The 25,228-nt window shown below is 39.4% G+C and overlaps 1 protein-coding gene and 1 long non-coding RNA gene across 35 annotated transcripts in view, besides 1 other annotated feature; one reads left to right on the forward strand and one right to left on the reverse strand.

Moving 5' to 3' along the window:
- GALNT11 (polypeptide N-acetylgalactosaminyltransferase 11) overlaps positions 1-25,228 on the forward strand; it is a 96,667-nt gene that overhangs the window by 54,009 nt on the left and 17,430 nt on the right. For 21 of the 34 annotated variants that reach the window (NR_163956.1, NR_163959.1, NM_001371458.1 and 18 more), the window contains 3 exons: positions 14,508-14,840; positions 21,116-21,239; positions 23,430-23,596. Coding sequence is in view for 30 of the 34 variants with exons in the window: in NM_001371458.1 (NP_001358387.1) it covers positions 14,546-14,840; positions 21,116-21,239; positions 23,430-23,596 (586 nt within the window). In the remaining 4 variants the exon portion in view is untranslated. The other 13 variants (NM_001371468.1, NM_001371469.1, NM_001371470.1 and 10 more) reach the window with 9 other exon arrangements.
- Positions 1,576-2,570: an enhancer, noted in NCBI's record as "H3K27ac-H3K4me1 hESC enhancer chr7:151778343-151779337 (GRCh37/hg19 assembly coordinates)". NCBI's record gives its function as "activates a minimal SCP1, AML or CMV promoter by ChIP-STARR-seq in naive H9 embryonic stem cells {active_cell/tissue: H9 hESC(naive)}" and the evidence as "EXISTENCE:reporter gene assay evidence [ECO:0000049][PMID:30033119]".
- The window catches only part of LOC731075 (uncharacterized), a 33,378-nt gene continuing 29,662 nt past the window's right edge, over positions 21,513-25,228 (reverse strand). The window contains exon 3 of the long non-coding RNA XR_001745432.2: positions 21,513-21,701. This is a non-coding gene — a long non-coding RNA (uncharacterized LOC731075). The remainder of the gene's footprint in view (positions 21,702-25,228) is intronic.

Here is a 25,228-nt window from a genome sequence, read left to right on the forward strand (position 1 = left end):
ACTATTGGTAGCTATGTTTTCTTCTAGCTTTCTGGGTAGATAAGGAATGGGAAAGAATAATGTGTATTTTTATGTTGTCATCACCTGGTAATTTCACAGGGGTATGTGGGTACTGTACTGTTGTAAATTAATATTTGTACTCACATGACTACAGCTGAGTTAAAATATGAGTGTGCCTCTTTTATGGAAAAAGCTAATAAATATTTGCTGTTTGACAATTTGTAATGCAAGAGTATCTTACAAGAAAATAGCTGGAAACTACTGAAAGGTAAATAAATACATTTTAAATGCATTAAATATTATGAAAATTAGTTTATTCTGGTAGAAAATGAAAGCTGTCCTGTGAAATAGAATTTTCTCATTAGTCTTGTGGTAAAAGATGGACATTAAAAGGTGGTTAAGAATTTCAGATTAGATAGTGATTCATAGAGGAAAAACTATTCTTCAAATTGTGCTTTTAGAACATTTGTTCAGTACTCAAATTTTATTCTCATATTTTTGACAAATTGATGGAATTAAAATATTCTTTCGGTGTGCTTAAACCTGCTCATTTTTCTTGGTGCTTGTGGCTATGGAAATCCCCTTTGCTTGTGAGGTTAAAATAATATGGTATCCTATTTCTTTCATAGCCTTAAAGTATTTAATCTTTTCCATAGTTGTTCTTATATTTTCAAGTTAGGGAGTTTCTGTCTAAGAAATTTTTTACCTCATTTATTAAATCACTACATATTCCTTGTAGAAAATGTTTTAAATAAAAGAAAGAACAAAGAAAATTAGCCATGATGCCACTAACCTGAGTCTATTAATTTTTTGGTAGTTGCCAAAAGCAGTATAGCATTTTGTAGATAGTGTAGAAAGATGAAAATAAGTAGTAGATTATATAGCAAAACATTAAAGTGGTGAGACTTCTGGTGATTTTTAAGTAGTTTCCTTTTTGCTTGTCTGTGTTTTCTGAGCTTTTAGCACAATAGCAAAAGCTATTAAAACATTAATTGCGGGCCAGGTACAGTGGCTCACGCCTGTAATCCCAGCACTTTGGGAGGCCTGGGCAGGAGGATCACCTGAGGTCAGGAGTTCAAGACCAGCCTGTCCAACATGGCGAAACCCCATCTCTAATAAAAAAAAAAAACACAAAATATTAGCCGGGCCTGGTGGCGGGCCCCTGTAATCCCAGCTACTCAGGAGGCTGAGGCAGGAGAATCGCTTGAACCCAGGAGGCAGAGGTTGCAGTGAGCCAAGATCTCGCCACTGCACTCCAGCCTGGGCGACAAGAGCGAAACTCTGATTCAGAAAAACCAAAAAACAAACAAAAAAAACCCCATTAATTGCCAGCACCCTGAATGGAGCCTTGCCTGTAGATCTTCTACTGTGTTCCTAGTTTATTAGCCTTTTCTTTAGGATTATTTAAGATTTTCATTAAATCATTCAGAAATGATTTAGATTTCTGAAAGATTAAGATTTCTGAAAAATGTTAGATTGGTTAGACTGGAAGATTAGTGGAATTAAGCCATCATCTGTAGAGTGACATTGCATAACAGGCATTGTCTTAGTGACCTTTATGTAATTTAACTACTTCATGGAGCACAGTTTTATAGCTGGTGTGGACTATGACCTCTGTTAATAGAGGACGACTACAAAAAGCATTTCAAAAGAAGCCTTCTTACCTCAAAGCCCGGTATTGTGCTGTTGAGAAACACCCCTCAGGCTAATCTGATGATGATGCCGGAATGTAAATTGGGTGAGCTGAGATTTTAGTCCTTTGCGACCTAAATAGTTTGCCACAAAGCATTTTAGATATTAACAACAGTTTTTAAATATTAACAACAGTAGATGCTAACAGTCACAATAAAAGTTTGCTTTTTGTGCAGATTAAAATATGTATGTGCTTAAATTGTTATTTGCATGTTTTTGTATACACATTTTTCTAGTTTCCTGGATTGCATAGTAGTGTAAGGCTACTCTTCACCTGCAAAGATGATGTCAGCTTCCAGCCCTGACCCCATACCACTCTATGTTTTCTTCCTCTTCTTATGGGTATCAGCTTTTTTAAAATGGTTTATGGGGGATGCTAGAAACCAACCCAATATTATGCTTTGTCTTTCCTCTTTTTATCCTTTGTTTTATAATATAGGCAGGTGTGTGTGTACTTACATGTAGCATCCTATATATACTTTTCTCATCTTTTTTCACCTGACAACATAATTTACAGATTAATCTGTAATTAGCAACTAATAAAAATATTTTCCTTTGTATAGCTGTGTATTGCTCTATTGTGTGGATAGTTCATAGTTTGTTCAACCAGCCCCTTATTAATGGACAATGGGATTTATTTTAGCCTTTTACTATTATAAATAGTCCTGTAGTGAATAGGCCTATGCATATATTGTTTTCTATTTTTACCATCTGTGGTTTAGATTACTGGAAGTAATATTACTAAGTCAAAGAGTAGATAGTGTATTTTTGCTGGGTATTGCTAAATGAACCTGCATAGAAGGTATACCATGTGTTAGAAATGCTTGTTCCTCGGTGCTGTAAAGAAATAGCACTTGAACATTAATTTCCTCAGCAAGGCCATTTTTACTTTCTGCAGAAAGGGTACACTTACCAGCAGTTTTGCCATGAGAGTACACCGAACAAAGGAGACAGGGTCATTTATAACCTGACGCATCCACCCTACTGCTGTGTCTGGTTTCCATTGGCTGGAACGGGACCTCACATTCTGTATTTGTCCCGATTGGCTAGCAACTTAGAACTTTTTAAAAGAGGCAAAGGCAGAGGAGAACAAAGGAAAGAGGAAGTAACTTGTGGAATGCTGAGAAAGGTAAAAACCTTCAAATAAGGAAGAGGAACGGGCTATGACCTAATGCTTGCTTGGACTAGTAAAAGCATGCCAGGGCAGATATTTAGGCTAAAGTGTGGGAGCTAAGAACATAAAGTACATTGATTTCTTTATTATGGCTAGCAGATATTTAAGAATGTTAGCACAGGTCTTTGAATAAATTTTGCTGCTAAGAGAAGTTACTATTTATTCCTAATTAGATGGGGAGGAAAGTTTTTGAAGAGGAAACTCTCCTTTGGTTTTTACACATGTATGAAAGCTTCCCTACAGCCTCACTCTCAGAATATGTTGTCAAGCTTTTGGATTTTTTCAGTTTGATCGGGTGGGAAATGATATTTCAATGTAATTTAAATTTGCACTTCTCTTAGTATAAGCAGGTTTGAGCATTTTTTCATATAGCTAAGAACTATTTGTGTTTCTGTTCTGTGAATGGTTTGTAAGGTTGTTGGTCCTTTATTTTTAGAATCTCTATTTGAGATTGTGGCTCACAGACCCTAAGGTGACCCCCAGTAATTGTGGTAATTACATAGCAATAGAAAACCAACACTGAGATATTACTCTTTTGTCTGTGATACCAATTGTGAGTATTTTTTCTAGTTTGTCACTTGTCTTTTTACTTTTCTTTTGGTGTCTTTTAGTATCCAAAGTTTTTTGTCTTTATGTAATCCAGTTTCTTTTCCTATATTCTGATCTTTTTTAGTCCTAGCTAGAAAAATTTTGCCCAATCCCAGATAATAGAGGAATTTACTCATATTCTCTTCTAGTACTTGTATGGAGTCATGTTTTATAATTAAATATCCAGTTTTCGGGATAAATGATGGGAGGAGTAGACTCTGTTGTTTTTCCTTATGGCTAAACAGTTGTTCTGACATCATTTAGTTGAAAGTCATTCATTTCCTCTCAGGTTTGTGATGTTTTCTTTATTTATACTAAGCTTATACTAAATTTATTTATAGCAAACATATTAGATTTCTAAATTTCTAAATGTAATTGGGTCTTTTTTCTCTTCTTTTCCCATTGGTTTGTCTGTCTGTGCGTGGGCCCTGCTGCGCTGTTTGGATAGAGAAGCCCTGGAGTTCACTTGTTCTGCAGTGGGGCTCACACCCCACTAGTTCTTTTTCCAAAGTTTACCTGGCTATTCCCTGCTTATTTATTCTTTTCCAAATGAACTTTATAATTAACTTGTCTAGCTCCAGAAAAAAAAACCTGATAATATATTTAACATGATTGTGTAGCACTTACAAGTTAACTTAGGGAGAAATGACGTATTTATTAGGATTTTGTGTCTTTTTATCCAAGAATATGGCATGTACATCTTTCCATTAGTTCAGGTCTTCCTTTGGGACCTTTTGGAGCTTCTTATTGTTTTCCTCATAAATGTTTTAGACGTTTATTGTTAAATTTGTGTTTAGTATTTAAGATGTTTGTCTTGATATTCATAAATGAGACTTTTTGTGGGGGAGGTTCAGTCTTTGTCAGGTCTTTGAAATCAATGTTATGTTCATTTCATAAAACAAATTGGGAAGCTTTCCTTTAAAAAAATATTTGGCTTAAGTAGCAGTAGGATTTCCTCTGACACTCTTCTCTGTGCCTGGTAGTTTGTTTTTGTTGTTGTTTTTTATTTTTTTCTTTGGTGTTTTTATTTTGGGGTTTTTTTGGGGAACTCTTTTATGACTTTCTTTGGGACTGGGGTCAATTTTAATAAGTTGTATTTTCTTTAAAAGTTACTCTCTTCTAGCTAGGTGTAGTGGTGCACACCTGTAATCCCAGCTATTCAGGAGGCTGAGAGGATGATGACTTGAGCCTAGAGTGTGGAGTTTGAGTCTAGCCCGGGCAACAGAGGGAGACCCTGTCTCTTTAAAAAAAAAAAAAAAAAAAAAAAACTTTTACATTTTCAAGTTGATTTTGTTAGAACTATACAAAATCACCTCTTTTAAATATTTTCTCTCACAGTGTTTTCAAATTTATTGTTAAGAAATCATGGACTAAGAGGAAGACTTCGTACTTTTGTTGGCGTGTTGAGTATTTTGTTTCATAATGAAACCGTCTAATGAAACTGTTTAAACTGGTTAGCCGTCTTTCTTGCCTCTCCTTCTTCACAATAAGCATTCATTTCCGAGGATGTGGTCTGCTCACACATTATACTCTTCTCTAAGATTTCGCATTGCACAGAATGTGAACAATGTCCTTTAACCTCTTCTGGAACAGAAATACACTTCAAAAATTATACAAACAAGTATGTATTAATTGTTAATACTAAGCGCTATGCTAAATATATGGGGCTGAAAAGATGGAAATGATCTCTGTCCTCAGGGGGCTTGTTTATGGTAAGTATAGCAGTGCTTACCCTACAGGCAAATTGTCTGTTGGGATATCTTGGGTTCACATACCTGTAAAGGATGATTCTGCTGTCAATGTCCCCCTCCAAAGTCACAATGTTGAGCATCTCATTTTCCAGCCATGACATTTCACCTTTCTGGTTCCCTCTGTCTGGTAACAACTCCAGCAATTATTTGGCCACACCAGGTCCTCTAATCCATAGGCCTATCCACATTTTTCATCTTGCCTCATACTTCCACATCCTCACATCTCTGTTTCCCTGGCTTAAATCTGTGATTTGTCATAATCATCCCACTGCATATACCTTGCCCCATTCCTGTACTGTTGTACCTCCCTGGCAAAAACCCACGTCTCAGCTTACAAGGCACCTATCCCTGAGCAGCTACCAGACCATGACTGAAGAAAAACGTAAAACCATAGTGACTTGTCTCACTTTAATAAATTCAAGTTCACAACTGGTTAGCCTTTTATTCATTTAACTTTGAAGAACGTATTAGTTGATGTCTAACTGCTGAAGTTTTGGCCCTATTAACTATTCAAGTTTATGATTGAAAGAATTTGTCACTAGTTGTTTTGCCTTAAGTAACCTGAGATACTTGCTTTGACTCTCTTTTCAAAGGCTTTCAGACTTGGATATTAAAGGCCTGGGTAATTGCCTTTAGAAGGGATAGCAAACAGTATGAAACACAAAGATTTTGTTGTGTAGATACTAGATTCATCATTCATTATTAGTGTAGATTAAAGTTTTAGCTTTTGATTTTTGTTTGGATGTTTTTAGTTTCTTAAGCAGGTGAGAAATTTATTGAATAATAGACATCTGATTTCTTTGCATTTCCTTCATATTTGGGTGTTGGCTTCTTTTTTTTATTTTTGGAGACAGTCTCGCTCTCTTGCCCAGGTTGGAGTGCATGGCATGATCTTGACTCACTGCAACCTCTGCCTCCTGGGTTCAAGCGATGCTCAGAATCCTCAGCATCCAGAGTAGCTGGGATTATAGGTGTGTGCCACCACACCTGGCTAGTTTTTGTTTTTTGTTTTTTTTTTTGAGATGGAGTCTCGCTCTGTTGCCAGGCTGGAGTGCAGTAGTGCAACCTCGGCTCACTGCAACCTCTGAGTCCCTGGTTCAAGCGATTCTCCTGCCTCAGCCTCCTGAGTAGCTGGGATTAGAGGCACGTGCCACCATGCCCAGCTAATTTTTGTATTTTTAGTAGACATGGGGTTTCACCATGTTGGCCAGGATGGTTTCAATCTCCTGACCTCGTGATCTGCCCACCTCAGTCTCCCAAAGTGCTGGGATTACAGGTGTGAGCCACCACACCCGGCCCAATTTTTGTATTTTTTTAAGTTGAGACGGGGTTTTACTATGTTGGCCAGGCTGGTCTTGAACTCCAGATCTCAGGTGATCTACCCACCTTGGCCTACCAAAGTTCTGGGATTACAAGCGAGAGCCACCGCGCCCAGCCCTAACTTCTTGACCTATCCGAAAACAGATAGTTCCTTTATTGCTTCTGAATACCATTATGCTTAATTGTATAAAAGAAATGATGGGATTTTATAAATGTATATGTTTTTAAATTTAGTCTTACGATTTACTATGTAAAAAATACTCTCTAAAGAATTATAATATGGTTTGGGAAAAAGAATAACATCTGCCTGATAGAGTTGTTGAAAGTTAGTATATTTTACAGCTCAGGAAACCAAGGAATCATGATGTTGAGCTGTTGTGGATAGGATGAGCCAGGGTGGTTATTCCATGGAGAATCTGGACAGAGTTAGCCAAATCCTGTTGGTGAGGTCTTTGAGCAGAAAACTTTTTCATTTTGCCCTTAGGTGCTGGCAGGTAGCCAAGAGTGAACCTAAGGAAAGTAGTTTCCCGGGTTTTTTGTTTATTTGTTGTTGTCAGTGAATTCTGTAAGATTAGTCTGCCTGTTTTTATCACAAAGACCATTATTTAAGTTTTGAAATGAGACAATAAATTCCTGAGTTGTTTCTTGTACCTTTTCCAAAAATAAACATGGCTGTTGTTCTGTGCTAGTTTTTATACTATTGTTGAATAAGATGGTCATGACCTCTATGCATAGTATTAAGGTATTGCTTAGCCCAAACAAGATAGTAACAGATTTGTTTAGAAATTTGCAAGCATGTTGCTAACCATATTACAGTAATTTTTTTCATTTATTAACAAATATTTATTAAATTGTTGCTATATTCTACGCATTATTATAATCTCCAGGGATAGACAAAAGCTCTTTCCCTATTGGAGCTTACTTCCTGGTATGGGAGAGATAAACAATAAATAATAAACTCAGGGAATAAGTAATTATGTATACGTAAGAAGGTGATAAATTCCATGGAATAAGGAAGACCAGGTTTAATGTTTAGTGGGTGGATTGAAGTTTTAAATAGGGTAATCTTGGTAGGGCCTTATTGAGAAGAAGATATTCGAGCAAAGATTCAATGGCAGTGAAAGAAGTCATCATGAAATTACCTGGGAGGAAGAGTGTTCTAGACTAAGTGAAGAGCCAGTGCATAGTCCATAATGGAGTGTAATTGAAATGTTTGACCCACAAGGAGACCTGTGTCTAGGACAAAATGAATGCAGAGAGAAGGTGGTGGGAAAAGTGCTCAGAGAGGTAATGCCAGATTACGTAGGGACTTGCAGGTCTTTGTAGGGAGCAGATGGGTGGTCATGTCTACCATTGATATTATATGTTAAGTCTAGATCTAATGACAAAAAATTAATATTTGTTCAGTTTTTACTATATTCATCCTATAGATACTTTTCAGCACTTTCTGTGGGCTATTCATTGTGCTAAGTGAAGGGAAAACATTAAACAAGAAAACAAACAGCAAATGCAAGCCACAGTCCTTGTGAAGACTATCTTGGTTCAGTGCAAAGGGTGGTGTTTTGTGTGTCAGTCATTGTATCTGACACTTTACATATTTTACCTTGTGTAATTCTGAGTATTTCATTTGATTCTGAGTATCCAATAAGATGGACAATGTCATTAACTTGGAATACAGTTGATGAAAATGAGGCTAAGAAAATCTGCTAATTTTTCCAAAGTTGCATTACTGATATATGGCAGAATGGGATTAGAATTCAGTCTTATCTTTTCATTATACCATTGATTCCCAAATCTGGCTGTGCATCAGAGTTAACTTGGAGGCTTGTTTAAGCTAAAGATTCCTTAACCTTATCTCTGGGAATTCCCATTTAGCATAGCTGGCGTGGAGCCCTGGGAATCTGTATTTTTAATAAATACTCCAAGGATTTCTGTATTTTGAAACTACCACCCTCCATTATTATATTTATGGTAGTGTGATACAAGTGATTATAGGAACCTTTGTCTTTTATTTTTAAAGAAAATGGTTTTGTTGTTTCATTGTTTAGTATCATGTTTGCTACCAGATTTTTAGAGATGCTCTTTGTCAGGCAAAGATTTCCCTATTTTTCCTAGTTTGTTAAGAATTGAGTGTTGAATTGTAATAAACTCTTTATCTCCATTGATAAAACCATTTGGGTTTTTTTTCTTTTAATTTATGAAGGTGGTAGATTATGGTTTTTCAAATATTGGACCAACTTTGAGTACTTGAAGTAAATACAACTTGTTTATGGTATATTCAGTTTTTAAAAACATGGTTGGTTTCAGGGTTTTTTTTTTTTTTAAGATTTCTGTAATCTCTCTGAGATTGTCTTTAATATTCTTTCCTTAAACTGCCCTTATTTTGATATCAGAGTGGTAACAGCCTCAGAAAGGGACATGGAGAATCTTTCCTCATTTTCTGTCCTCTGAAGGTCATTGCATCTACCTAAAACCATCTGTTCCTTAGATACTTGGTAGAACTCACTTTTAAAATCACCTAGAAATGTTTTTATGATAGTTTAACATTCAAAGGTACTACAGGGCATCCAGGTTCCTGATTTTCCAGAGTTGGTGTTATGCATTTATGTTTTTCTAGGAATTTGATCATTTCACCTGAATTTGTAAACAGTGCTCCTGTTTTCAGTCTGTGTCTGTATTTATGCCTCTTTCTCATTGTCGTCTTATTTGTGCATTTTTCTTGATATGTTTTGCCAGTGCTTGTGTAGTTGCCCGATGGGTTCTTCCTGCCCACTCCACAGACAAAATCATACCCTGAGACCATAGCATTGCAGTCAAGAAAGAACTTCATTCATGTGAAGCTGGCCCATGCAGGAGAACTGGGCTTATCACTCAAATCCATTTTCCTGAGGGCTCAGAGTTTAGGGTTTTTATGGACAGTTTGGTGGGCAGGGGGCTAGGGAACGAGTGTGGCTGATGGGTTGGGGATGAAATCATAGGGGGGTGGACAACAGTCTTTGTGCACAGAGTTCACCTCTGGGACCAGTTGAGTCATGAGTCACAAGCCTGGGTAGGATCTGTCTGAAAGATATCTCAAAAAAACAATCTTAGGTTTGTTATATGTAAAATGTTTGTTCCCTGGTGCCATAAAGAAATAGCACTCAAATATAAATTTAATTCTCTCAGCAAGGCAATCTGTATTTTCTGCAGAAAGGGTGCTCATCGCAGTTGGAACAATGGCGAGAGCACATTCGAACAAAGGAAAGACGTAATTTTTATCCCTTATGCTGTTTGTTCCTGCTACTGTGTCCTGTCTCCATTGGCTGGAGCCAGACCGCGCAATCTAAACTAAAACCCGATTGGCTAACAGTTTAAAACTTTTCTAAATAGGTAAAAGTAATGGAAAGACAAAGGAAAAGAGGAAGTTGCTTATGCCAAATAGGGAAGGGGCATAGGCTGCGAGCTGGAACGTGCCCGTGAGCATGTCCAGCACAAATATTTTGGTTAAGGTACAAGGACATAGAATGTACTATGCACCTGTGAGCATGTTTAACAGCTACATAGGATAGGGCTTAACAAAGAGTTATTAGCATAAAGTGAAGAGGCTTGAAGGAAGTTAGTCTTTAAAATAAACTATTATTTCTAACACTTATGATTTACTCTTTAACAAGAAGGGAAACTTTGAAGAGGAACTTTTTACTTTCTACAGGTTCTACAATAATGATGTTATCTATAGGAACAATCGAGGAAGTCATGAATTTTGCGACGTCTGGCCACATGACTCCCGAGCAGTAAGGGATTATAGAAACTACACCTACATTTCTGTGGAGTTTAGGCCCTTCCAGTTCCCATTATCATATTCTTGCTTACAAAGGTGGTTTTCAGTCCCTGATCAAGGAAAGGGGCTAGTTATAGGGAGGGGCTGTTATCATCCTTGCTCCTAAGTTAAACTGGAAACCACATTTCTCCTAAAGTTAGCTTGGCATACACCCAGGAGTGACCAGGGACAGTTTGGAGGTCAGCTATGTCAGATTTCTTCTACTGTCACAATTTTGCAAAGGCAGTTTCATTTTATTAATTTTACTGATCTTTTAAAGAACCAGCATTTGGCTTCTGTTGTTTTATTTTCATTTTCTATTAATTCCTGATAATGCTTTTATTATTCTTTTATGTTCCTTGGGTTTATTCAGTTATATTTTTCTTAATTCATAGTTTGTGGTCATGTTTTCTAATATAGGCATCAAAAGCTATAAATTTAGCCATATCCTATGGGTTTTAAAAAAGTTGTATTTTCACTACTTAGGTTCTGTAGAAATCTCTGTAGTGTTCATTTGCACATTTTGTAACCTTTCTAGTTACTTCGTTACCATTGGTTTTTAGTGTACTTGTCTTGGTCACAGCATGTGGCTCCTTGACCCCACTGGTCGCACTCCTCAAGAGCCTTTGCTCTTATTCCCCCACCCCCCCACCCCACCCCACCCTGCATAGCTCTTCCCCAGATAGCTGCAGTACTCACTATTCAGTTTACGTCTTGACACAAGTATCACGTTTTCAGGGAGGCCTTCCCTCTCCATCTTCCTGAAGCTTCACACACCTTCTTCTCCTCGTTGCTCTTCCTGCTTTATTTTCTTTCCTCAGCACTTATCACTTTCTAATGTATTATTTAACACAGTGTTCCCAGCTGGATAGAGAAGGAAGTAAAGCCATTATGGGGTGTATAGCTGGAGACTGAAATAGAATTAAATCATAAGGGAAGTGGGGAGGGCTGAGTGCCCGGACTTTGCCTGTCATGAGACTGAAGACATAGGGGTAGATGCAGCTGAGGAGTCAGGGTTGTGGTTGGAGAGGGAGTTTTTGTTGTTGTTGTTGTTGTTTTTTTCATGTGGAGTCTCACTCTGTCGCCCAAGCTGGAATGCAGTGGTGCGATCTCGGCTCACTGCAACCTCTGCTCCCGGGTTCAAGCAATTTCTCCTGCCTCAGCCACCCAAGTAGCTGGGATTACAGGCGCCCGCCACCACACCTGGCTAATTTATATATATATTTATTTTATTATTATTATTATTTTTGTGTGTGAGTCGGAGTCTCGCATTGTCACCCCGGCTAGATTGCAATGGCGCGATCTCGGCTCACTGCAACCTCCCCCTCCCGGGTTCAAGCGATTCTCCTGCCTCAGCCTCCCGAGTAGCTGGAATTACAGGTGTGCGCCGCCACGTCCCGCTAATTTTTTGTATTTTTAGTAGAGACAGGGTTTCACCATGTTGGCCGGGCTGGTCTCAAACTCCTGACTTTGTGATCCGCCCACCTCGGCTTCCCAAAGTACTGGGATTACAGGCGTGAGCCACCGCGCCCGGCCCTAATTTTTTGTATTTTTAGTAGAGACGGGGTTTCACCATGTTGCCCAGGCTGGTCTCCAACTCCCAACCTCAGGTGATCTGCCCACTTTAGCCTTCCAAAGTCCTAGAATTAGAGGTGTGAGCCACCGCCCCCAGCCGGAGAGGAAAGTTTCAACTTAGACATGAAGAGGTCATCACATCAGTCCTGGATGATGATGAAATTGAGGGTGGGGCAAAGTTCCTTATGTGGAATTTAGGTAAAGGTGACAGCAGGAACACTAACCAAGACATTTGGAGGCAGGGTTGGGCATGGTCCAACATGATAGTGGGAATCAGGCTAAAGAAAACACGAGAAACGACATCAGTGTCCATCTTTCATAGCTGCTAATGGAGTAGCTCTTGGTTTCTTCAGGGTCTGTTTTGGATGGTTCCCTTTTGTGAGGGCCAAGCAGCCCATGGTGGAAGCGGGAAGGCCGGGAGTGGTTTGAGGAAAACAACCTGTAAGCGTGGACCTTGCTATATGGATGAAGAAGGGGTTGGCTCCCTAGGTGCCTGGTTCCTCGTGGATTCAGAGCAGCCTGTCCGGTTACACTCTTTAACTTCAGGATCTCATGGCCTGTGGAAGAAGCAGTGCTTTTGTTTTTGTTGTTTGTTTACTTGCTCTTTGTCTACCCTAAGCGAACATTTTAGGGAGTTATAATGTCTGTTTCCCCTAAATGTCACTGCTCTGTACATTTTTGTTGCAATATTTTTGTTACAAAGTTGCACATTGCAATTTTTTTTTGTCTTTTCATTTGCTCTCATGGGCTTCCTTACTTAGAGAACATTTTCTTCTACTTCAAGTATTTGTGTTTTTCTGTTTATGTCTTTAGTTTTAAAAGTACCTGCAGCTGACATAGCAGCGCTTTCACTGGCGCCTGATTTTCCTTTGTACTATTGTCATTTCCAGCCATGCCTCTGGTATTACTGTTGGTGGGAGTTTTTGTTTGGTTGGGTTTTTGTTTTGTTTTGGTATGTTACTGTTGTTTTGTTTTTTTACTTTTTAATTAACTTGTAGTAGAATACTTAATAGTTCTTGGTTGGCAGACAGTTAAGAAACTGAACTGTTTACCATCTTCTAGGCTTATGGCATAACCTTGTACAAGAGAACCTAATTTTTACAGTGGTGCTTTACTGATGCCAGTTTGCTTTGTCCTGATCTTTTGGGGACAATACCATTTTTAAGATTATTTTATGCTGTAGAAATAAGTAACTTAAAAGCAGTATCTCTGTGCAGTTTTCTTATGTATCTACATTGCTTATATGGTTTCTCTGCCATAAGTCTGTTTACTGAGATGATTTTATATGTGCATTGGGCTCCTTAGAATTCCTTAGGAAATTGTATTAGCCTCCATGAAGATCAGATATCAGAAAGCTTAGGAGAAATTGCCAGGCACGGTGGCCTCACGCCTGTAATCCCAGCACTTTGGGAGGCCAAGGCGGGCAGATCACCTGAGGTCAGGAGTTTGAGAGCAGCCTGGCCAACATGGTGAAACCCCATCTCTACTAAAAATACAAAAACTAGCCAGGTATGGTGGCACGCACCTGTAATCCCAGCTACTTGGGAGGCTGAGGCAGGAGAATCACTTGAACTCGGGAGGCAGAGGTTGCAGTGAGCCAAGATCCCACCACTTTACTCCAGCCTGGGTGACAGAGTGAGACTCTGTCTTAAAAAGGAAAAAAAAAAAAAAAGCTTAGGAAAAATTGCTGTTCAGTGCTACATTTAGTTCTTCTTGCCTTGTTTTATAGGTGAGGGAATATAATTACTTGAACTCTTTATTTGAAAATAACTTAGATTTAGAGTGCACACTAGGGCAGGCATAACCTTTGATTGGAAAGTAGAATTTTTTTTAAGTTGTTTATATTTATTTATTTTTATTGTTTTGAGACAGAGTCTTGCTCGGTTGCCCAGGCCAGAGTACAGTGGTGCAATCTTGGCTCACCACAACCTCCGCCTCCCGGGTTCAAGAGGTTCTGCAGCCTCAGCCTCCCAAGTAGCTGGGATTATTATAGGCGCCCACCACAACCCTCAGCTAATTTTTGTATTTTTGATAGACACAAGGTTTCACCAGGTTGGCCAGGCTGGTCTCGAACTTCTGACCTCAAATGATCCGCCCACCTCAGCCTCCCAAAGTGCTGGGATTACAATCATGAGCCACCACACCTGGCCAGAGTTGCTTAGAGTTGCTTATTTTTAATAATAGATTTTTAAGATCCTTGGATTAAAAAAAGAATCTTGCAGTTCTTTGGTTGGAAGAGACTTTAGTTGTCCTGTTATGATACATGTGGTACTTGTTATTTTCCTTGTGAAAATTATAACCTGATGAGAAAAATTACGCAACTGAAAGCAGTCCAGAACAAAGGTGAAGAAGTATCCATTAACATGGGCAAATGAATCAGTCAGCTATTTCACTGCCGTTGGTTCTCTGAGCATTAACCCACAGGCCTGAGGTTTTCATTGTTGAACCCTTTTTAAAAACTCAGTACTATCCATACATCTTCTTGTATTTGAATATCCGTTAACTGTACGCATAGTGGTCCTACTTGGTGGTTTGGAAAACAGTGATTCTGTATTTGGTGGATGGTTTAAAGTATACTGAAGTGTCTAACATATTTATTCTTCTTTTTTAGGAAATTGACAATGGCCCTTCAGCTATGCTAGGTCTATAATGGGAAGTGTCACAGTTCGGTATTTCTGTTATGGGTGCCTTTTTACATCTGCGACCTGGACAGTTTTGCTTTTTGTTTATTTCAACTTCAGTGAAGTGACTCAGCCACTTAAGAATGTGCCCGTCAAGGGGTCTGGGCCCCACGGACCATCTCCAAAAAAATTCTATCCCCGTTTCACTCGAGGCCCAAGTCGAGTGCTCGAGCCACAGTTCAAAGCAAACAAAATTGACGATGTGATAGACAGTCGTGTTGAAGATCCAGAAGAAGGCCACTTGAAATTCTCTTCTGAATTAGGTAAGTATATGATGTTTACCAGCATCCATATCAATGTATTTAATCACTGGAAGTTTGATTAATTAGTTAATTAGGAGATCAGAAATGCTGCATCATTTTTTCCCCACTGATTTATTTTGTTTGTGAACTACCTGAAGTTCTGTGGTTTCTGCAGACTCAGTGGGGAGTTATATTCTAATTTATCCAGTTCTGACTTCAGTATCTTATGAGAAAACAAACAAGGTCCAGGGAAGAAAAATTAAAAGGCTAGAAAGAAAATGGAACCTATGGGAGAAGGGGTTTGTTTTTTGTTTGTTTTTTTAAGAGATGGGGTCTCACCATATTGCCCAGGCTGTCCCCGAATTCTTGGGCTCAAGCTGCCCTCCCACCTCAACCTTGAGAGTAGCTGGGACTATAGGCATGCACCACTGTGCCCAGCCCTGGAAGAAGGTTTTAATTGCTAGAATTGTTAATAAGGGAAAGAAATGGTTGAAAGTTTCCTTGACTGTATTTAACTTATTTTTAAGGGTACATTTAATTAATACAGAACATAAAGTACTGAGTTTAAAAATAAGCTGGGGTTATTTATATCTAATATGATTTTCACTTAACAAGAATTACTAAGGTGCTAGAAAAAATATATGTATATATAATATAGTTTATGAAATCTTAGTTATAAAATAGCCCTTTTTTCCTCCTAAAAAATTATATTCTCTTCAACTTGGATGCAAGACTCTATTGTCTATGCCTTTGAATACTGCAATTTTAGAGTGTTGATTTTGACATTTTATTTTAAGGGATAAGTGAGCAATTTTTGTTATCATTAAAACTTAAAGAACTTGGATCTTGTCACAAAAACATCAAATAATAGGTAATTTAAGAGTAAAATACAAGAGATTTTTGAGAGATTGAGAGAGCCTTAGAATGTGAAAGAAATGTTAAAATAGAGTTTTCACTTGGTCATAGTTTCAAAGAAATAAAATCAGTTCTTAGGACTTAATGATTTTCTAATATAGGAAGTCAAAAGTATGTAAAATTTTATGAGGAAACAAGCTAATATCTACTTCAGTTTTCATTTAAAAATATTTTTAAATAGAGACGTGATCTCACCAACTTCAATTTTCATAAAGTACAATTTTCATAAATCTTTTTCAAATAGCCAGTGGACATTTTTAAAGCATTAATGGGAAAATGTCTAGCTCTTTTATTTATTTATAGTTACATTGGTAAAGCTTTTATCAAGAAGTAATACTGAGTTTACCATTTTGAATAGACTCTGTATTTGCTTTTGAAAGAAGTAGTGAGAGAATTGTAGATATTGAATAACAAACTCCAGCTGCCTAACTGAAAAACTAAATTCCTTATAGACTATCGTAAAGAATCCACAAAAAACCTATTAGAGGTAATAAATGAATTTGGCAGTTGCAGGTACTAGATCAACAGGCAAAAACCAGTTGCATTTTTATACTGTAGCAACAAGTGGCCTGAAAAATGCAGTTAAGAGATCAATTTCATTTACAATAGCATCAAAAGTCATAAAACACTTAAGAATAAATTTAGCCAAGGAGCTGCAAGATTTGTATGCTGAAAACTGTAAAACATTGCTGAAAGAAATCAAAGTAAACCTACACACATTGAAAGATATTCCAGGTTCATAGAATGGAATACTAAATACTGTTAAGATGTAGGTATCACCCAAAGCAATATGTAGATTCAGTGCAATCCCTATCAAAATGTCAGTGGTCTTTGTTGTAAAGAGGGAAAAGGTTATCCTAAAATTAATATGGAATTACAAGAGGCTCTGAATAGCCAAAACAGTCTGAAAAAGAACAAAGTTGTAAGACTCAGACTTTCCAATTTTAAAAATAAATTGGACTACATCAAAAACAAAAACTTTCGTACATCAAATAACATATCAAGAATGTGAAAAAAGGGCTGGACGCAGTGGCTGATGCCTGTAATCTCAGCACTTTGGGAGGCTGAGGTGGGTGGATCACCTGAGGTCAGGAATTTGCAACCAGCCTGACCAACGTGGCGAAACCCTATCTCTACTAAAATACAAAATTAGGTGGGCGTGGTGGCAGGTGCCTGTAATCCCAGCTACTCGGGAGGTTGAGGCAAGAGAATTGCTTGAACCTGGGAGGCGGAGGTTGCAGTGAGTCAAGATCGCGCCATTGTACTGTAGCCTGGGCGACAGAGCAAGACTCTGTCTCAAAAAAAAAAAAAAAAAAGTGAAAAAAGACAACCCACAGAATGGGAGAAAATATTTGTAAATCATATTTCTAATAAGGGTTCAGTATCCAGAATATATAAAGAATGCTTGTTTGTAATTTTATTTCATTTTGAGACAGGGCCTTGCTCTGTCACCTGCGGTGGAGGGCAGTGGCACAGTCATGACTCACTGCAGCCTCAATCTCCTTGGCTCGTTTGATCCTCCTGCCTCAGCCTCTCGAGTAGCTGGGGCTACAGGGGTGTACCACTATGCCCAGCTAATTTTTGTATATTTTGTAGAGACAAGGTTTCACCATGTTGCCCAAGCTGGTCTCAAACTCCTGGGCTCAAGCCATTCGCCTGCCTTTGCCTCCCAAGGTGCTGAGACTATAGGCATGAACCACTGTGCCTGGGCCCAAACAGTTCTTAAAACTCAGTAATAAAAAGACAAATGGCACAATTTTAAAATGGGCAAAGGATTTGATAGACATTTCTCCAAAGAAGATATGCAAATGGCCAACAAGCAGATGAAAAGATGCTTAATATAATTAGTGATTACAGAAATGAAAATCAAAACAATGAGATAGCCATCTCACACCCACTGGGAGGGCTATAATAATAAACTTAAAAAGGAGAGTAGCAAGCGACAGTGAGGATGTGGAGAAACTGGAGCCCTCACATGTTGCTGGTGGGAATGGAAAATAGTGCAGCCACTATAGACAGTTTGGCAGTTCCTCCATAAATTAAACGTAGAATTATCATATAACCCAGCAATACCACTCCAGGGTTTGTACTTGGAAGAATTGTCAACAGGTGCTCGAAAACTTGTACTCAATGTTCATTAGCAGCACTATTCTCAATAGACAGAAGGTGACAACATGTTATCCAAATATCCATCAACTGATGAAGGGATAAACTAAGTGTGGTCTATCCATACCATGGAATATTATTCAGACAGAGAAGGGAATGACGTTGTGATCATGCTACAACATGGATGAACCTTGAAAACATTATGCTTGTGAAAGAAGCCACACACAAAAGGTCACATGTTGTAGGGTTCCTTTATGTGAAATGTCTAGAATAGGCAGGTCCATGGAGACAGAAGGCAAATGAGTGGTTCCCAGGGACTGGGGAATGGGAGGAATGGGAATAACTGCTTTAATGGGTATAGGGTTTTCTTCTGCGGTGCTGACAATATTCTGCAGCTAGATAATCATGCTGGTCATACAACATTGAGAATGTACTAAATGTCACTAATGGTATGTTTTATGTTACGTGCATAATTATCACAGTTAAAAAATGAAAAACATCCACAATTTCTTACATAAAATAAATTTAATATAGAAGGAATTAGTATAAATAATGTAGTAGTTAAAAGTATGCAGATTTCTGAGTAGAGAATTACTGAACAAGCAGGGAAAGGAACCTATGAAAAGGTATATTTGAGAAAGATTATTGGCCAGGCATGGTGGCTCACACCTGTTATCCCAGCACTTTGGGAGGCTGAGGCTGGTAGATCGCTTGGGCTCAGAAGTTTAAGACCAGCTTAAGGTGGTATCTACTGAAAGTTTAAAAATTAGCTGAGTGTGGGGGCGCATGGCTGTAGTCCCAGCTACTTATGAGGATTGTTTGGGCCCAGGAGGCAGAGGCTACAGTGAGCCGAGATTGCACTACTGCACTCCAGCCTGGGGGACAGAGCAAGACCCTGTCTCAAAAAAAATAAATAAATAAATAAATAAATTTAAAATTAAAAACATTTTCTCATTTAATCTGAAATTAATTATAAAATTAATTGAAAAGGGTCCTCTGGCATGTTAATTCATTGAGGTTTGGCTACAATTTTGAGTAGGGGAATAAGAAAAGTAAGCTAAAACAATCTTTTCATATGGAATCTTTTCAAGAGACCTATAATAGAACATGATTCTTTCATGTTCTGATACTTGTTGAATTAAGGAGTATTTATTGAGAATCTTCTTTGTGCAAGGCTCTGCTCTAGGTTCTAGGTATCAAGCAATTTTAGTTTTATTTCTTTTATGTTTTGGTCATCACCAAAGTCTCTTCTCTTGTGGAGTTTCTCTCCTTGTATAAAATGCTAGTGGAGGTTTGTTGTTTTGTGTTTAAAAAGGATGAACTGCATTTGAAACAGTTTCAGAGAGAAGGCATATTAAGAGATAATGTTTCTCAAAGTAGATATGGGGACACTAGTTGCGTTCAGATAAATTGGGGAAACACTGCATTCTATTTTTTTTGAGACAGAGTTTTGCTTTTGTCACCCAGGCTGGAGTACAGTGGCATGATCTTGGCTTGCTGCATTCGCCTCCTAGGTTCAAGTGATTCTCCTGCCTCAGCCTCCCAAGTAGCTGGGATTACAGGCGTGTGCCACCATGCCTGGCTTATTTTTGTATTTTTAGTAGATACGGGGTTTTACCATGTTGGTCAGGCTGGCGTTGAACTGCTGACCTCCCATGATCCACCCACCTTGGCCTCCCAAAGTGCTGGGATTACAGGCATGAGCCACCACGCCCGGCTGGAAACACTGCATTCTATATCTCAACCCTTTACACCTGGATATTCATAAAACATTCACTGTATTAAAGGAACAGAGTTCTACTATTTTTTAAAAATGGACTTTTATTTATTTATTTATTTATTTATTTATTTATTTATTTATTTTGAGACAAAGTCTTGCTCTGCAGGCTGGAGTGCAGTGGCGCGATCTTGGCTCACTGCAACCTCTGCCTTCCGGGTTTAAGAGATTCTCCTGCCTTAGCCTCCCAAGTAGCTGGGACTACGGGAATGCACCACCACTCCCGCCTAGTTTTTTTTTTTTTTTTTTTTTTTTTTTTTGTATTTTTAGTAGAGATGGGGTTTCACCGTGTTGGCCAGGCTGATCTTGAACTCCTGACCTCAAGCAATCTGCCCGCCTCCACTTCCCATAGTGCTGGGATTACAGGCATAAGCAGCCGCGCCCTGCCTAATATTACAGTGACTTTGATTAGGCCTGTGGAGGAATTCCCTGACAGTTAAACCAGAAACTGTGAAGCTTTTTTTTTTTTTTTTTTTTTTTGAAAAGACAGGATCTCACTCTGTCACCCAGGCTGGAGTGCAGTGGCACAACTGTGGCTCACTGCAACCTTGATGTCCTGGGCTCAAGCAGTCTTCCTGCCTCAGCCTCCTGAGTAGCCAAGTCATGGAGACTACAGGTGTGAGCCACTGAGCCACCACACCTGGCTAATTTTTTTTTTTTTTTTTTTTTTTGTAGTAGAGACAAGGTCTCGCTGTGTTGCCCAGGCTGGGCTCAAGCAGTCCTCCTGCCTTGGCCTCCCAAAGTGCTGGGATCACAGGCGTGAGCCATTGCGTCTGACCCGGGAAGCTCTTTTTATGGAAAAGCTTATCAGTCGCCTTTTTCTGGGGAGGGACTCCTGTAAAAACTCGCATGTAATTGAGGCCTGTCAAGGGCCACTGGGGTTCTAAAATCTATTGCTTTAATGGAAAATTATAAAAATTTTTTTCCTGGTTGCAGGTAAATTTTTCTTTTGAATATAATAAACTATTCTTAAGATTATGGTTTGTGGCCGGGCGTGGTGTCTCACGCCTGTAATCCCAGCACTTTGGGAGGCCGAGGTGGGCAGATCACGAGGTCAGGAGATCGAGACCATCCTGGCCAATATGGTGAAACCCCGTCTCAACTAAAAATACAAAAATTAGCTGGGCGTGGTGGCATTTGCCTGTAATCCCAGCTACTCGGGAGGCTGAGGCAGGAGAATCGCTTGAACCAGGGAGTTGGAGGTTGCAGTGAGCCAAGATCGTGCCACTGCACTCCAGCCTGACGACAGAGGGAAACTCCATCTCAAAAAAAAAAAAAAAATTATGGCTTGTGAGCAGGTGGTGTTTATGGTTAAGACACCTTGCTTTGACCTAGACTGATAAGAATTTGACTTCAACCTAGAGACAACCTAAGTTTGAGAAAAGAGATATTAGATTATAATAGGATAAAGTCAGCATTTTCTTAAGATCATAATATCGTTAACAGTAACATGATACTTTCTAGATTTAATTCGCTGACTAACTTCACTCTTTTGCAGGTATGATTTTTAATGAACGCGATCAAGAGTTGAGAGACTTGGGCTATCAGAAACATGCTTTTAATATGCTTATCAGTGACCGCTTGGGCTACCACAGAGATGTGCCAGACACAAGGAATGCAGCGTATGTGCCTTATCGGATTTGCAAATACATTTTAACAACACGATGCTTTTAGTGTCAGTGTAAGAGGTCACGAGGACGGGGTTCATATTTCCCAATGCAGCGTCTTTATTCAGCATACTAGGAAACTTGAGACAGATTTCCACTTGTATTATATGTGAAGCCACATGGTCTGAGATGTACCAACAGAGTCCTGGAGCTTGCTGTGTCTCCTTTAACATTTCAGATCACCTGGGGAAGCAGAGTAGGGTGCTAATTAAATAACCTGAGTATAAGTTTGTTCTAAATGTTTATTGATTGGATTCATGGCAAATAGGAATTAACATCAGTGAAGAATTTTACTCTCATTTCACTTTTCTCTTTCATTGTTTTTTTTCCATCAAAGGCTTTTCGTGCATGTGGTCAGTCATTCCACAGACAGACATTTGTTGAGCACCTTCTGTTTGCTACACGCCGTCTTGAGCCCTGGAAGAAACAAACAGATGTAGTAGTTCCTCAGTTCTCAGGGCTAGAGTCTAGCAGGGGAGGCAAATAAGTCAACAAGTCCTTACATGAGTAAGGGCTGTGACAGGGTTTGGGGAAATGGGGGCATAGTACTGGAGTGGTCCCTGCAGAGAGGTGACAAGGCTGGAGGGAGGCAGGGCTCAGATGCTGGAGGGCTGTGTGTGCCCTGGGAAAGAATTCAGGGTTCTCAATGTGTTCTCTAAGTTCATGGCTTTTTTTTGGGGGGGGGGGGATGGAGTCTTTCTCTGTTGCCCAGGCTGGAGTGTGGTGGCATGATGTCGGCTCACTATAACCTCCACCTCCCAAGTTCAAGTGATTCTCCTGCCTCGGCCTCCTGAGTAGCTAGGACTACAGGCGTGCACCACCACGCCTGGTTAATTTTTATAGTTTTAGTAGAGATAGGGTTTCACCATGTTGGCCAGGCTGGTCTCAAACTCCTGACCTCGTGATCTGCCCACCTTGGCCTCCCAAAGTGCAGGGATTACAGGCGTGAGCCACTGCGCCTGGCCAGTTCATGGCTTTTTGATGTTGCTTAAAGCTCCTAACCCTTTTTTTCCCAAATAGTTGCTTGGAATGATTTGATACATGGAAGCTCTTCTGTTATCTTGGTATATCATAATTTATTCAAATCTTTTTTATTATTGGGCAAAAAAATAAAATTTCAAATATAAAGTCTTATATTTGTTTCCTTTTGAAACCTCATTGAGGAGAAGCTGGACATCAGCTCATGAGTGCTGCATGAAACACTTGCAGTGATTTTGGTAAAAAGAACTCACATTTTTATGTACCCTCTCTTCCAAAAAAGAAAAAAAACCCTGAAGTTTAAAAAGTCTTTATTCGGCTGGACATGGTGGCTCACACCTGTAATCCCAGCACTTTGGGAGGGCGCGGTGGGTGGATCACGAGGTCAGGAGATCGAGACCATCCTGGCCAATGTGGTGAAACTCTGTCTCTACTAAAAATACAAAAATTACCTGGGCGTGGTGGCGCAGGCCTGTAATCCCAGCTACTCAGGAGGTTGAGGCAGGAGAATCGCTTGAACCAGGGAGTCGGAGGTTGCAGTGAGCCGAGATCGCGCCACAGCACTCCAGCCTAGTGACAGAGCAAGACACCGTCTCAAAAAAAGAAAAAATTTATCCAAAAGTAAACAAGATAGCAGGTATAGGAGGGAGACATTATTAGCAAAATGTAAAACTCTTGAAGAAGAAACCGTATTGTTTTTGTAAATGCTTTTAAAAAAAATTGTTGTTACCATAATGTTAGAAAGAGGCTGAACAGGCTGGACGTGGTGGTTCACGCCTGTAGTCCCAGCACTTTGGGAGGCTGGGGTGGGCAGATCACCTGAGGTCAGGAGTTCGAGACCAGCTTGACCAACATGGAGAAACCCTGTCTCTACTAAAAATGCAGAATTAGCCGGATGTGGTGTCGCATGCCTGTAATCCCAGCTCCTCGGGAGGCTGAGGCAGGAGAATCGCTTGAACCTGGGAGGCGGAGGTCACGATGAGCCGAGATAGCGCCACTGCACTCCAGCCTGGGCAACAAGAGCGAGACTCCGTCTCAAAAAAAAAAAAAAAGGCAGGGGGTGGGGGAAGAGGGTGAACAAGGGGACAGTAAATCTGTAGGTGAATAATAATCTAAACCATTCGAGCCTTTTAAAATGTCAGAATTTCCTCATCTTTATCTTTACAGATGTAAAGAAAAGTTCTACCCACCTGACCTGCCAGCTGCTAGTGTTGTTATCTGTTTCTATAATGAAGCGTTTTCTGCCTTGCTTCGGACAGTGCACAGTGTCATAGACCGCACGCCAGCACACCTGCTTCATGAGATCATCCTTGTGGATGATGATAGTGACTTTGGTAAGGAATGCTGCACCTGGTAACATTGGATCCAGGCTGTCAGTCACTACAGCACTGACAAACACTAACACAGCTGAACTTTCAAGTACGTGGTAGGTGGGGATCCTACACGTGCAGTCACAGCTGGGCTGACCACAAATAAGTCTGAAGAAATCCATTATCTTTGTAACCTGCTTATAAACTATGCTACCCAAATTTGGGCCGTGAAATTTTTTCCGTGGCTTACTTTAAAAAACACACCTCTTTTTATTTGAAATAACTGTAGGTTCACAGGAAGTTACAAAGACGGCCTATGTACCTTTATCCAGTTGCTCCATCATAAAATTCCCCTGTCAGAACCAGGAATCCACATTGGTACAGTGTGTGTGGTCCAGGGTCATTCTGTCACACAGGTGGACTCCCACAACCCTCACTGCAATGATACAGAACTGTTTCCTCACCCGGAGGGCCCTTGTGCTGCCTCTTTCTAGTCACACCTCCTGCTTTCCTCTACTCTTCCCCAGTCCCTGAAACCACGACTCTATGATTTTGTTTCCATCTCTGATTTTGTTATTTCAAGAATGTCATATAAATGGAATCACACGGTATGTGACCTTTTGAGATGGGCTTTTTTCATTTGGCATGATGCCTTGGCTTATGCTTCTCTATTAAGTCTCTTACACTGATCGTCCCCAGATAAAAGTGGATTGCATTCTGATAGCTCCTCAATGATCTCTGAATGCCAGTATTTTATGATTCACTACATATTCTATATTCTGTACGCCTTTCTTAATTCAACATAGACTCTTGCTAAGAATGGCTTTGTGTACCCAAACAGGATAGAAGGCTTTTTATTACACTGCTCATTCAGCTCTCAGTGACCTTGCAAGAAAGGCTGGAAGCCCATTTTATAGAGGGAGAAATATAAAAAGTAATTTGCTCAGACCCCATAGCTGTTAAGTAGTAGAGTGGAAATGAGACCTCTGGTCTGCATAGCTCCAAGCCTTCTGCTCTTTTCATGACAGCAGGCTGCAGGAACACAGTGGTACAGGTGTATGCCAGTGACTTTTTCATGCACTCGAGCGTTTATTAAGTACCACTTGTATCAACATCAGAGTTGGTATACCAGTATACTTAAATATAGAAGGTAAAGAAATGGAGAGAGTCATGGGAGCAAAATTCTCAAACCTTGGCCAAAAACAAACAAACAAAAAACCTAATAAATAAATCTGAGTCTGGACCACGTAGAAGATTGGTTACATACTGATTTCTAGAATTTATGGTTGGTTTTTGTTTTTTTTTAAGTCAACTTGTATTTTGGTTTTCACTTTGTGGCTATTTTACCTAAAAGGAAAAATTCATAATTTGAGGTGGTTTGTATATTAACTATGGAAAGAATTACTGCTTATTATCTTACACGATCTTTCAAGTTATTCTGAAATATACAGGTGAATGACATAGAATTCCTTAAAAAATATTTAGCAACCTTGGAAGAAAGATGCTAAATTAATAAAAGGACATATTCAATGCTGTTCTTGTTATTCTTGGTAGGGGCAATAGAAGTTGTTTCTTAACTATTTTGAAATGGACTAAGACTTAATAAATTCCTTTGTAATAAAAGGCATTTATATCTCATTTTCTTTGTTATCAATG

This window comes from Homo sapiens, chromosome 7 (assembly GCF_000001405.40).
Source record: "Homo sapiens chromosome 7, GRCh38.p14 Primary Assembly".
NCBI classification, from domain to species: Eukaryota; Metazoa; Chordata; class Mammalia; order Primates; family Hominidae; genus Homo; species Homo sapiens.